This window comes from Homo sapiens, chromosome 20 (genome assembly GCF_000001405.40).
Source record: "Homo sapiens chromosome 20, GRCh38.p14 Primary Assembly".
NCBI lineage: Eukaryota > Metazoa > Chordata > Mammalia > Primates > Hominidae > Homo > Homo sapiens.
The window spans coordinates 20,238,091-20,251,243 of record NC_000020.11 but is presented as its reverse complement, the minus strand read 5'-3'; the positions used below and the strand labels follow the sequence as shown (position 1 = coordinate 20,251,243).

Genomic DNA, 13,153 nt, shown 5'->3' with positions numbered 1-13,153 from the left:
TAAATTGGTGTATTGACCACAGCCTCAATGGGAATGAGAAGGAAGAAAGTGACATTGTTGAGGATTCCCAAAGCCAGGGGTCAGAATCTTTGAATACCGAGAACCCTTCCTATTCGCTAATACTTTTCAGTAATCACTCATTCTGAGAATTAGCGTATGGCTTCCTGCCAAAACAACAAAACCCATTTTACTTCAAGAATATAGCAATTAGGGAGTTAGGTTCGCAGCAAGTACACTCCCTGGAGACTTTGGGATTCACCCTTCAGGGCAGAGGTGATTTTCTAGGAACGGAGACTTCGACCGCCAGCAGGCCCAGGGCGGCCATTCATGCCATGGCTTCAGCGTGCTGTGGCTGCACTGGCTTCCATTTTCTGGGCTCTCTTGGAGTTTGAGCGCTTTCACGTAGTATGATAAGAGTGGGTTTCTTGTGGCTTTGGGTTTATTTAAACAGTTTTGTGAGGGTTGTTTCCAGAATTTTCTGAAAGGATTGACCTCAGGTAAACCACCTTTTAGTGATTCTGTTCTGAATACTGAGAGTCTAAGGTAATAGGACATTAAGTGCTTCTTTTAATTTAGGCTGTATGATTCTTTTCTTCCTTTTTTCTCTTAACATAAAAACACTAACATTTTTATTTATTCATCTATTTATTATTTATTTTTAGAAACAGGATCTCACTATGTTGCCCAAGCTGGTCTCAAACTCCTGAGCTCAAGTGATCCTCCTGCCTCAGCCTCCTGAGTAGCTGGGACTGGAGGCACGCGCCACTTCTATGCTTGGCAGCACAGTCCTCTTCAAAAAGAACCCTGCCATGGTCTGTGCTGCTGACAAGCCTGGACTCTGCATCCTCCTGCTGTCTTCAGTTTCCTCACCTCTTAACACAGGGTAATGAGCTCTCCCTACGTTCCTCCACTGCTGACCGCTATAAGGAGTGACCGTGAGAATGTAAGACAGGCTGCTTTGTTAGGCAGGATGCGTATGTGAAGAGTATTATTCTAAATAATATTAATGAGACAGAACCCTGTTTACTCTCTTTGGAGGCAAACAAGATTCTGAAGTGGTAATGAGGGAACATTTCTTCCTTTTGATCTGCGCATAAGCCTGGTCTTACCACACAAAGAGAATTCTAGTCATGGGGGCATATTAGACCTTGTTACAGGACCTGTGAAAGGGCTCTGTGAAACAACTTAAAAACAAGAAAATTTCTTCTTAATAAGAAAAGAAAATCGGGGACTGGCCTATCACAGGAAAATAATGGATAGTGAGAGGAAATTCTCTTGTAAAAACCATTTCATTAGCTTTATAGGAATACAGGAAATGTCATGGCTTCCCACATTTGTGAGAGACCCATGAAAGATTGTTTTTTATCTGCTCCAGATCCCTACTCTAAGCCATCCACGATGAGGAAAAGTTAAATACAGTTAGTGCACAGGGATTCATTTTATGAGGCTGTGCCCAAAGATAAAGGCTCTCAGGGGAAATTTGTGGAAGGCAAAGACAATGATATTTTTAATGACAGCAGGACAGTAGCATTGATCACATCAGAATGCATATTTGAGAGTTAAAATGTGAAGCTCTGTCCAGTGGGAATGGCACTGGGGACCACTGATTTTTAGGAAACTTTACTAAGTCACAAAAGGAAGTGTTGAAGAATGTGGGGTGATTGCTGTTACAATATGTTACTACATTGAATGATTTTATTTACTTGAGACAAGATCTCACTCTGTCACCCAGCCTAGAGCACAGTGGTACAATCATGGCTCACTGTAGCCTTGACCTCCTGGGCCCAAGCTATCCTCCCCGCTCAGACTCTCGAGCAGCTGGGACCATAGGTGCAAGCTACCATACCTGGCTAATTTAATTTTTTTTTTTGTAGAAATGGGACTCTCCCTACGTTGCCCAGGCTGGTCTTCAACTCCTGGGCACAAGCAATCTTCTCACCTTGGCCTCCCAAAGTGCTGGGATTACCTGGCCATTTCTCAGTTTAAAATATCATTGTATAAGTGATTGCTACCCATTCTGGATATTACTATCCATTCTGGACCTTCCTTAATTTCCTCACCAGTTGAGTGAAACTATATATCGAAGACTGTAAGTGATATTTTTCCAAAATTATTTTTTAAGTAGAATGAATAAGCTTTAATATTCTAACATAGCAGGGCCTGACTCATGGCCTGGTGGTGAGAGAAATACCTCCACTAGGCTTCATCCGAAAACAGAGAAGGAACCAAAGGAGGCACATCAGTGAAACTTCCTGTTCCTCAAGTGAGCTTGACCGTGACTCAAAACTAATGTGAAAGACTGTCTTCATAGAAAGTTCTGAAGACAGATAATAAGGAGGAGAAAAACAAAAAGCAAAAATGGAGGACGGGGAAATTCCTGGAAGAGGGCATAGATGAGTAGCAGCTTGCTCTAGGTTATAGTGCCCCCAACCTTGTGGTCAAAAGCCTAGTCCAAAGCTCCAGGTGTGCAGTTAGAAGCAAGCTCTGGGGGCCACAGATGAGTCAGTGGAGACCTGCACCTCGTGGAATCATGACTCTTCCGAGCTGGAAAGAACCTTAGAAATTCTCATAAAAGATTAATTGTGACACTCCTAGAAAAAGGACTATCACAATTAACTTTCAATTAATCAGTGCTGATTGTCCAATTAGTGGATTTCTCCTGCCTCCTGTTCCTTCTCCTCTCCCACTGCCTTCCTTTCGGCTGCATCCCAGACATGCCATTAGCACCTCCACAAGAGGCTGGATGGGGGCGGTGGGAAAGAAGACAGAAATGGTTCAAAAATTCTAACAATAATAAATTAAAACAATGGTTAACGACAAGTTCAAAATTAGTATTTGGAATCAGGGATTTAAATTACTAAATTTATGAATGTCATTTGCACCTGTTATTTTGAAACCCCATGATCAGAGATAATTTCCTTTATTGGGGTTATGAGGACCATTTGAAAGACATCTCCTATTTATGGTTCAATCTTACTGAAATATGTGGTTTCTAAGAAATGTGATGACATGCAGTTACCCATGCAAAGGGGTCTGGCTGTGTTATTTAGACCCTAACACTTGCTTGAGAGGAGTTTTGCAGGTATTTCTGGAGGTAACTTTCCTCTGTTCCACATTATTTACTGGGCATCTGCTATGTGCCAAGGACTGACCCAGGTATTGAGTATACATCAATGAATCAATGAATAAAAAGGCAAAAATTTCCGCCCTTGTGGTGTTTATATTATAGTTGAAGGATTCTGGATATAAATATGAAGAATAAACATTATTTCAAAAGGCAAATAATACAATATTTAGGAGGATTTAAGTAGCAAGAAAAAAACAGAGCAGAGTATGAGGGACTGGAGTGTGTTGGGGTGTTGGCTTCAAATGAATGGTGTGGTCAGGATAGACCTCATAGAAAAGGTAACATTCAAGAGCAAAAAGCAGAGACCTCAAGGTGGGGACTTGCCCGTTGCATCTGAGGAACATCGAGGAGGCTGGTGTGGCTCAAATGGGGAGAAAAAGGGCAAAAATAATAAAAGGTGAGGCTGGAGAATTAAGTAGATGGAGACAGAGTTTAGGCTGGAGCATCACAGCACGTTCTACGATGATGAAAATGTTCTTATCTGTTCTATCCAATGTGGTAGCCACTGGCTACATGTGGCTAATGTGAGGAGCCGACTTTTTCATCTCATTTAATAATTTAAATGTAAATACACGTGGCTAGTGGCCACCATATTGGATAGTGCAGTTCTGGGCGGTGAGGAGGCGATGTGATCTGAGCCAGCTTTCCGCAGCCTTGCTCTGGCTGCTGTGCTGAGACTGTGGAGGCAGGGACAGCAGCAGGGACGCCAGTGGCTTCCACCCACTCAGTCTGCCCACGCAGCGTCACACCTGCAGAAAGCCCCCTCGGTAGCTGTTTTCTCCTGAAACACACGCAACATGGGATTGAGGGAAACTTTCACTACGCTGATGGAATTAAGTTCCTCTTAAGACATTTGCCAATAAAACCAGCATTTCCTGGGAATCGTGTAATTTAGAAAGAGGGAAATGGAGAGAATGTGTTCTTGGCCAGAAGTTGGTGTTATGTTAATTTTAACAAAAAATCCAGCAAGCTTGGCTTCTCGTGTACTGCTCGTGATCAAAAAAAGCAAAGCTCAGAGAAATGAAATTCCTTGCCCAGGCCCTTCGTGGCAGGGGCAGGATCTGAATCCACATCCTCCTGGCTCAAACCCATGCCCTTTTTTGTATCATAAGGACATCCTTCAAAAAAAAGTTTATAGTCTGATAAAATTATAAAGTGGAAACGAACCCGTTCTGCTGGCAAGGAAGTTGTGTTTTTTCTCATTGTTCGAAGGCAAAATGAGTCTTTTTCACAGAGGAAAGAGGGTCCCTTCATCATGGAATCTAAAATGAATCCCCTGGGAGGGAACAATTTCCTTCCTCCTTATTGGAAAAATTAGGAGCTTGTTTCTAGAGGCAGAGAAACTAATATTTCTTGTAGCCATGTTTTGCTACAGGAAATTAAAATGAATGAAAGCTATGTGATAAAGACATGGTATTTTCCAGAACAGATGTTGTCAAATAGTGATTCTACTGGGATGAAGACAATAAAGCTCACCCAGACTGGCATGGAAGTTCTTTGCCTGATCAGCTGCTGAGTACAAATGGCCAGGGTAGCTGTGGGACCCATATCCCAGCCAGGCGCCCTGTCAGATGCAAATGTAGTCACCAACCTTCATTGCCCTGTAGTGTCACTCAGAGCCCAAAGGCAGGGCTGGCTGGGTCCGTAGGCTCCACCCCAATTGTTTGGAACAGGGCAGATGTCTTCCCACGGATAGAAACTGGTGGCCCTGGCCTGCCACTCTTGGCCACTGGCTTGTGAACACACTGGTACTTGTATCTCCTAAGTGATGTCTGAACTCCAGTAGAAAAGCCCCACCACTTCTCCTTTTCCAATCTGAAATCTACTATTTAGCATTAAATAGACTGCACACAGAGTAGGACATTTAGGCCTCAGAATGAAAAAGCAAATACAATTCATACTCGCTGGCTAAAAATTTCCTTTGTTCAGTGTCCAGAAGTTTTTTTCCTGGGAGTCCATGAGTTGAAATCAGGGTAAGATTATTAAACTTCATGTGAGAGCTAAAGAAAAAGAAAAATGAAAAAGAACAAGCAGTTAAGTGCAATTTAGCAAAAGTTTATCATAATTCAATTTAACTTTATATCACGTGTCATCCAACTGTTGAATTGCTTTTGGAGCTACTAATTCTTTGCACGAACCTTCAGATAGAACCAACCATTTCAAGGAAAAAAGGAAGATGGCGCTGGAGCTGCTAACTATAGAATCTTCCAAAAAGCTACACATTAGTAATGAGACAGGTTTTTAAAATGTGCTTTTCAAAGTAAAACTAAAACAAATTGGGAGGGAGGTAAATTTAGTATGAAGTTTAAATTTTAGACTACTTCTATTAATAATAAACTGCTTGGAAGCATAACAATCGCAGCTTAACCCTGATGACTGCTTCCAGTCAAGCCTTTTGCATGGCTCATTACCCCATCTAGTCCTTACAGGAATCCAGTCAGGTCAGTAATACTATTATCCCTATTTTTTTTAGGTGGAACTGAAGCAAGTAATTTGCGAAGACCATTGATATAGTTTGGCTCTGTGTCCCCACTCAAATCTCATCGTGTAGCTCCCATAATTCCCACGTGTTGTGGGAGGGACCTGGTGAGAGGTAACCGAATCATGGGAACAGGTCTTTCCTATGCTGTTCTCATGATAGTGAGTAAGTCTCACCAGATCTGATGGTTTTAAAAATAGGAGTTTCCCTGCACAAGCTCTCTCTTTGCCTGCTGCCATCCATATAAGACGTGACTTGTTCCTCTTTGCCTTCCACCATGATTGTGAGGCCTCCCCAGCCACGTGGAACTGAAAGTCCATTAAACGTCTTTCTTTTGTAAATTGCCCAGTCTTGGGTATGCTTATGTTTATCAGCAGCATGAGAATGGACTAATACAGTAAATTGGTACCAGTAGAGTGGGGCGCTGCTGAAAAGATACCCAAAAATGCAGAAGCGACTTTGGAACTGGGTAACAGGCAGAGGTTGGAACAGTTTGGAGGGCTCAGAAGAAGATGAGAAAATGTGGGAAAGTTTGGAACTCCCTAGAGACTTGTTGAATGGCTTTGGCCAAAATGCTGATAGCGATATGGACAATAAAGTCCAGGCTGAGGTGGTCTCAGATGGAAATGAGGAACTTGTTGGGAACTGGAGTAAAGGTGGCACTTGTTATGTTTTAGCAAAGAGATTGGTGGCATTTTGCCCCTGCCCTAGAGATTTGTGGAACTTTGAACTTGAGAGAGATAATTTAGGGTATCTGGCAGAAGAAATTTCTAAGCAGCAAAGCATTCAAGAGGTGATGTGTGTGCTGTTAAAGGCATTCAGTTTTATAAGGGAAGCAGAGCATAAAAGTTTGGAAAATTTGCAGCTTGACAATGCAATAGAAAAGAAAATCCCATTTTCTGAGGAGAAGTTCAAGCCAGCTGCAGAAATGTGCATAAGTAACAAGGAGCCGAATGTTAATCCCCAAGACAATGGAAAAAATGTCTCCAGGGCATGTCAGAGACAGCAGCCCCTCCCATCATAGGCCTGGAGGCCCAGGAGGAAAAAGTGGTTTTGTGGGTTGAGCCCAGGGTCCCCATGCTGGGTGCAGTGTAGGGACTTGGTGCCCTGCATTCCAGACACTCCAGCCATGGCTGAAAGAGGCTAATGTAGAGCTCAGGCTATGGCTTCAGTGGATACAAGCCTCAAACCTTGGCAGCCTCCATGTGGTGTTGAACCTGTGAGTACACAGAAGTCAAGAATTGAGGTTTGAGAACCTCCACTTAGATGTCGGAGGATGTATGGATATGCCTGGATGTCCAGGCAGAAGTTTGCCGCAGGGGCAGGGCTCTCATGGAAAACTTCTGCTAGGGCAGTGTGGAAGGGAAATGTGGAGTCAGGGCGCCCACACAGAGTCCCTACTGGGGCACTTCTAGTGGAGCTGTGAGAAGAGGGCCACCCTCCTCCAGACCCCAGAATGGTAGATCTACCAGCAGCTTGCACTGTATGTCTGGAAAAGCCACAGTCACTCAATGCCAGCCCATGAAAACAGCCAGGAGGGAGGCTGTACCCTGCAAAGCCACAGGGGTGGAGCTGCCCAAGACCATAGGAACCCACCTCTTGCATCAGCATGACCTGGATATGAGACATGGAGCCAAAGGAGATCATTTTGAAGCTTTAGGATTTGACTGCCCCACTGGATTTCGGACTTGCATGGAGCCTGTAACCCCTTTGTTTTGGCCAATTTCTCCAATTTGGAATGGCTGTATTTACCCAATGCCTGTACCCCCACTGTATCTAGGAGGTAGCTAACTTGCTTTTGATTTTACATGGTCATAGGCAGAAGGGACTTGCCCTGTCTCAGATGAGACTTTAGGCTGTGGACTTTTGAGTTAATGCTATAATGATTTAAGACTTTGGGGGGCCAGGCATGGTGGCTCATACCTGTAATCCCAGCACTTTGGGAGGCCGAGGCAGGTGGATCACGTGAGGTCAGGAGTTTGAGACCAGCCTGACCAACATGGTGAAACCCTGTCTCCACTAAAAATACAAAATTAGCCAGGTGTGGTGGCACATGCCTGTAATCCCAGCTACTTGGCAGGCTGAGGCAGAAGAATCACTTGAACTGGGGAGGTGGAGGTTGCAGTGAGTCAAGATCACACCATTGCACTCCAGCCTGGGCAACAAGAGTGAAACTCCATCTCAAAAAAAAGAAAAAAAAAAAGACTTGGGGGACTGTTGAGAAGGCATGATGGGTTTTGAAATGTGAAGGCATAAGATTTGGGAGGGGCCAGGGGCAGAATGATATGGTTTGGCTCTGTGTCTCCACCCAAATCTCATCTTGTAGCTCCCATAATTCCCATGTGTTGTGGGAGGGACCTGTTGGGAGGTAATTGAATCATGGGAGCAGGTCTTTCCCATGCTGTTCTTGTGATAGTGAATTAGTCTCACGAGATCTGATGGTTTTAAAAATAGGAATTTCCCTGCACGAGCTCTCTCTTTGCCTGCTGCCGTCCATGTAAGACATGAGTTGTTCCTCCTTGCCTTCCACCATGATTGTGAGGCCTCCCCAGCCATGTGGAACTGTAAGTCCATTAAACCTCTTTCTTTTGTAAATGGCCCAGTCTCAGGTATGTCTTTATCAGCAGCGTGAGAACAGACTAATACAACCATATAGCTAGTAAGTCTGGAGGCAGGGTTTGAACCCAGGATGCCTGGCTCCAGCATCCTCTCACCTTACCTCTGCCTGTACTGTCCTGTAGATCTCAAATTGTTCAGAGGGATCCAAAGGTCATCTAATTCCCATTGGCTGACATTAGCTTTATTACATTCAGATACACACAGTTACTCAAATCAGGATACCAAAAAGTGTCATCTGCGAGGAAATTCTAGAGGATTCCTTTTTAAGAGCAAAACTGCTTTATATTTGCATCAGGCTTTCCAGAGCCCAAGGCACATTCATAGGCATTCACATAGAGATTAATCTTCTACACAATTTATGCTAGGGATAGGGAAGAGACCGGTTTTTCTGATCCACATTTCATAGGTAAGAAAATCAAGGTTGGAAATGGTAAGTAATTTGTTCAAGGTTACAAAGCTCATAAGCAGTGCCAGCTATGAAAGAAAGCCAGGCCTGCTGGCCCTAGGCAGCGCCCTGCTCCAGGCACCCACAATACTCCCTCTAACTAGTCCTACAGGTAAAGTGCACCTAAGTAGAGACTTCTGAAGAACTCACATGCTCAAGGCTCACTCCGTGTTTGCCCATCAGGATTTAAGATGCTCTTGCTGCAAATCCACCCCCTGGTTAAAGTCAGTAAAATTTCATGGGTGAGCTGATCTTTTCATAGGGTTCATGCTGATGAGATTTTTTTTTCTAAAATCTCTTCTTAGTTCACACCTCCCCTTCAATCAACCAAATGCCAAAAAAGAAGCCTTCACCAAGTCAGAGAGAAACACCTGCCCTCCTTTCCCATGAGAAGATTGGAAATGTTCCAAATGTGGAACTGCTATCAATTTACTGACAATCTGTTGAGTAGCACTAAAAGCAGGAGACTTTTGGTGATGGCGCAGGCCAGAAATGCAATAAACTCAACTGAACCTGACATTTAAAAATAGCTCAATATTATGAGAGGTTTTGCTCTAAAGTCTCTAAGGATGAGTGTCATTTAAGAATGAATATTCTTATTTGATAAGAAGAAAACTGAGCACATCTTATCCTCTAATAATAAGAATAAAAAATTTTAATATCTTCAAATAACATAAAGGTCACAATTAACCCAGCTACTTATGGCTGACAGTCTGCAAGTACACACTGATTACTTGTCTCTTATTTATTACCATTTAATGAAAAATGCTAATAATAATAATAATAATGTGTTTATACTCACAAGCAGTTAAAATTTACCCCAGCTTTGGGTGCTATATGATAGATATGTGGTTTATGTTACACCAATAATAGTTATATATAGGCCTTTTTTACATCTCTATGTAAGTAGAAGGCTTAATAATTATCCAGCTACATCTTTCACTACAAAGACTGTCCATTTGGTTTTGAATCATTTGAATTATCGAACAACATGGATCAGATGATTTATAAATTACCAAACTACCACATTGCATTATCCTAAATTATGCTGTTGTACAATTTAAAATTTCCCCAAAACAACAAAGTAGTTTTTTAAAAAACCTAACCTATAATGATATAGTACAAAGATTTTTTGGGGGATAGAGGCATTTTTTGAATTTTAATACATTAAAAAACAGGTTTCCACTCTTTTTCTTTAGCCCAAGTTGAAATCTTTTTACATTCTTCATTGTTGCTGTTCTGGGCCTTTCTCCAACCTTCAAGTTCTCTACTGTAACCCCTCTTGTTATCCTTACTATCCCCCTTCCTCATACTCGGGTGAGCACATCTCCTATGTCATAAAGAAAATGGGGACTGGTCACCAGGCATTTTTATGTTTCCTTCTTACCATGTCTAGAGCGTTCTTCCATTCCCCTGAGTCAGAAGAGACATGTCTCCCCATTAAACCTATCTTCTCTTCAAGTTCCTCTTTGATCTCTCTCAATCCCTCTGAGAGCAAATTTCTCTTAAAACTATACTTAAGACACCTGGACATCACCAGTTTCGTGCTGATAGGACGGATCCACAGAGTCAGCTAGGCAGCTGGGCCCATGACCTGCTTCTCTGCTTCTCCATGTGTGATTTCCATTTTCAGGGTCACCTCAGGTTCAAGGTAGCTCCTGGAGCTCCAGCCATCACAGCCACATTACAGGCAGAGGAAGGAGAAATGGGCAGAGAGTGCTGCCTATTAAGGAGACTTCCTGAAAGTCCCACATTTCTGCTTACCTAGCCAGAACTCAGTGACATGGCCAGGGAGAAGCAGGGAGTCTGGAAAATGTAGTTTTTCAAAGAAAACACAGTGATGTTTCAAAGAACCACAGTCCCCAGGGTTTTGTCACCAAGTGCAGAATGAATACTGGGAGGCAATTAGAAGTCTCTATTTTCATTGACTCATGGAGGAAGGATGAGCTGGGGATATGAGAAGATCCTTATTAATCAGGATCCAGGCAAAAAAAAAAAAGATGGCGGACTCCACAAGGTCTTACTGAATGAAGGCAGCTGTGTATGCAGGGTTACAGGGACAAAGAGGGAAGGAGAGTACCCAGGGTCTAGCAGCAGTGGGTGCCATCACTGATCCTGGGCCTAAAGGAGCAGGGGTGGAGGAAACACTGAGAGCTGGGGCCATGCAGGAGGCCTCCCCCAGGAGCTGTTGCCACAGAACCTCCTGTCTGGGACAACACTGTCTTGAGGCTGTCTTTCATGACTGTTTTACCAGCTCCTCCTCCTTTGTCCATTTCTCCCTAGCCAAGCTTCCCAAGCTGCATGCCTATTTCCCTGGGTGATGTTATCCACCACCAGGACTTCCTCTTGCACATTTACTACAATGTACTATACTACAGTGATTCTTCTGAGCTCTAAATCTAATTTCTAAATGCCTATCAGCCCTAACTGGCATGCTCCAGGGGGGTGTCAAATTTAATATGTGCCCAAACAAAGCTCTTGGTCGCCTCATCCCACTCCTCCTCTATCTCCATCAAAGCTTTGGCCAACTAACCACCTCTAGAGCTAGGAATTTGGCAGCCAGTCTCAGGCTCCTTCCCACTACACACTTTGGCCACCATGTCCAATCACTTTGACCTTGTCCACATCTCTTGAATGCCCCCACAACCCTCCCCTCCTATAACACACTGCCTTAGTTCACCATCTTGTCTAGAGGGTTTGTCTCTCTGGCTTGAGTCTCTCTCTTCTGCCCATCTTCCACACAGCTACTGGAAACCTCTTTTTAAATTAAATAAAATCTCAACGGTTTCCGGTTTTAAAATCCCTACCTTTGTTCTTGGTAGAGATTTTACCAAGGTAGCTGCAGATCAGACTCATTAAGATCCCGGTCTCAGAAGTCGGACTGCCTCAGTGCCACTCCCAGCTCTAGCACTTCTAGCTTTTTGACCTTTGCAAGTTATTTGACCTCTCTGTGGCTCTAGAACCTAATGCTTCTTAGGAGTTCTGTGAAGATTAAATGCATCATTGTCTGTAAAATGCTTAAAATATCGCCTCTGCATAGTACATTTTCAATAAATGGTAAGTGTTTTTATTACCAAACTGTTCAGCCCAAATTCCCTAGTGTGGCATAAAGGTCCTTCTGGCTGGGCCTAAGCAAACTTCCCCGACATTCTTTGTAACATCAACCTCCTTGCTATTCAGAGAAGGTTCCCTGCCCTTTCATGACTTTATATGAAAATATCACCAGCATTTTCATTTCTTTCTCCAACCTCATATTTTTGCTGTGATGGTTCTCTCTATAATCCGATTTAGCAGTGTCTAAATATTTAATTTCTTAAATCTATAACTATGTAAGAGTATTGGTCTAAAGTCATGAAGTTTATAATACATAAGTCTAATAGACTGATTTTTAATTTGATTGCCTATGAATATTCAAAAAGTTCCTTCAAATAGAACAGTGGGTCACGGAGTACAGCTTGCATTTGGGCATGCATTTGATGAAATGGCAGGAACAGCAGAACCACAGATAAAGCTCAGATCTAATGGTGTTGGCTTAATGTATATAAACAATATCTAACATCACCGTGAGCCCTCAGCTCCAAAATCAAAGGTCACCATATCATGAAAAAAAAAAAAAGTTTCAAGTTAAGTGCTCAAGCCAATGAAACATTAAACAAGGGCACCTGCATTTTCACAGCAAATAATTCCAGTGGGGATTTCACGTTGCTGTGGATACAAAGGGAGGAACAGCTCAAAGATACTTGTAAAGCAGGGAGGGATTAGGGTATCCAGGGAAATAAGTAAAAGGTATTGTGTTTCATTCCATGCTTCAGGAGGACAGCTACAAAATTAGGTCTAAACATCCTTATCCTTCAAATAAAGAGGGTCACATTGCCCATTTATTGTGAACATGATAAAAGAAACATAAAACTTTTCATGGTGCTTACCCTTCTGGGCAGTAGATACATGTCGGCCTGCTAGGCGATCGCTAGTTATTTTCTAGCTGATTTTGTGTGTGCTGTGCGTGTCTGCAGGGTGCAGGCATAGCAAACGCAACCAAAGCAAGTGATTTAATTAACTGCTTTAATTAATGCTGTTATTTGAACAAATAGATAATGTAGAGAAAAAATTATTATCCCACATCGATCTAAATGTTTCAATTTAATTTACTAAAACCTCTGCTTTCTGAATGGTTCAAAACAGTGACAAAAATATTTGCCAATGAAAATAAATCCTAGCTCGTGATAGATATTTAACCTATCTACATATTCTACTAGTTAAAAAATAACTCAGATTTAATTCAGTCTTAACAACAACACATGCCATAAAATACTATAGGTGGAGTTTAGAAGTTGGGAGCTCTGTGAACTTCCAATATCAGAGGCAAAACAAATCCACACAAAATATTTATTGTTAAGTACACAGCAGAGTAAGAGAATCTACCAGTTTTTCCCTGAAAAAAATTTAACTTTCTTTAGCAATATTTTTTTCTGTTTAAATCATA

At 42.4% G+C, this 13,153-nt stretch overlaps 1 protein-coding gene across 1 annotated transcript in view, besides 1 other annotated feature; it reads right to left on the bottom strand.

Annotated features, from left to right (window-relative positions):
- CFAP61 (cilia and flagella associated protein 61) overlaps positions 1-13,153 on the bottom strand; it is a 308,167-nt gene that overhangs the window by 109,455 nt on the left and 185,559 nt on the right. Inside the window, exon 19 of the mRNA NM_015585.4 lies at positions 5,029-5,127. Within this exon, the coding sequence (NP_056400.3) occupies positions 5,029-5,127 (99 nt within the window). The remainder of the gene's footprint in view (positions 1-5,028; positions 5,128-13,153) is intronic.
- Positions 2,250-2,499: an enhancer, noted in NCBI's record as "active region_17606". NCBI's record gives its function as "activates an Ori minimal core promoter by ATAC-STARR-seq in GM12878 lymphoblastoid cells {active_cell/tissue: GM12878}" and the evidence as "EXISTENCE:reporter gene assay evidence [ECO:0000049][PMID:35858748]".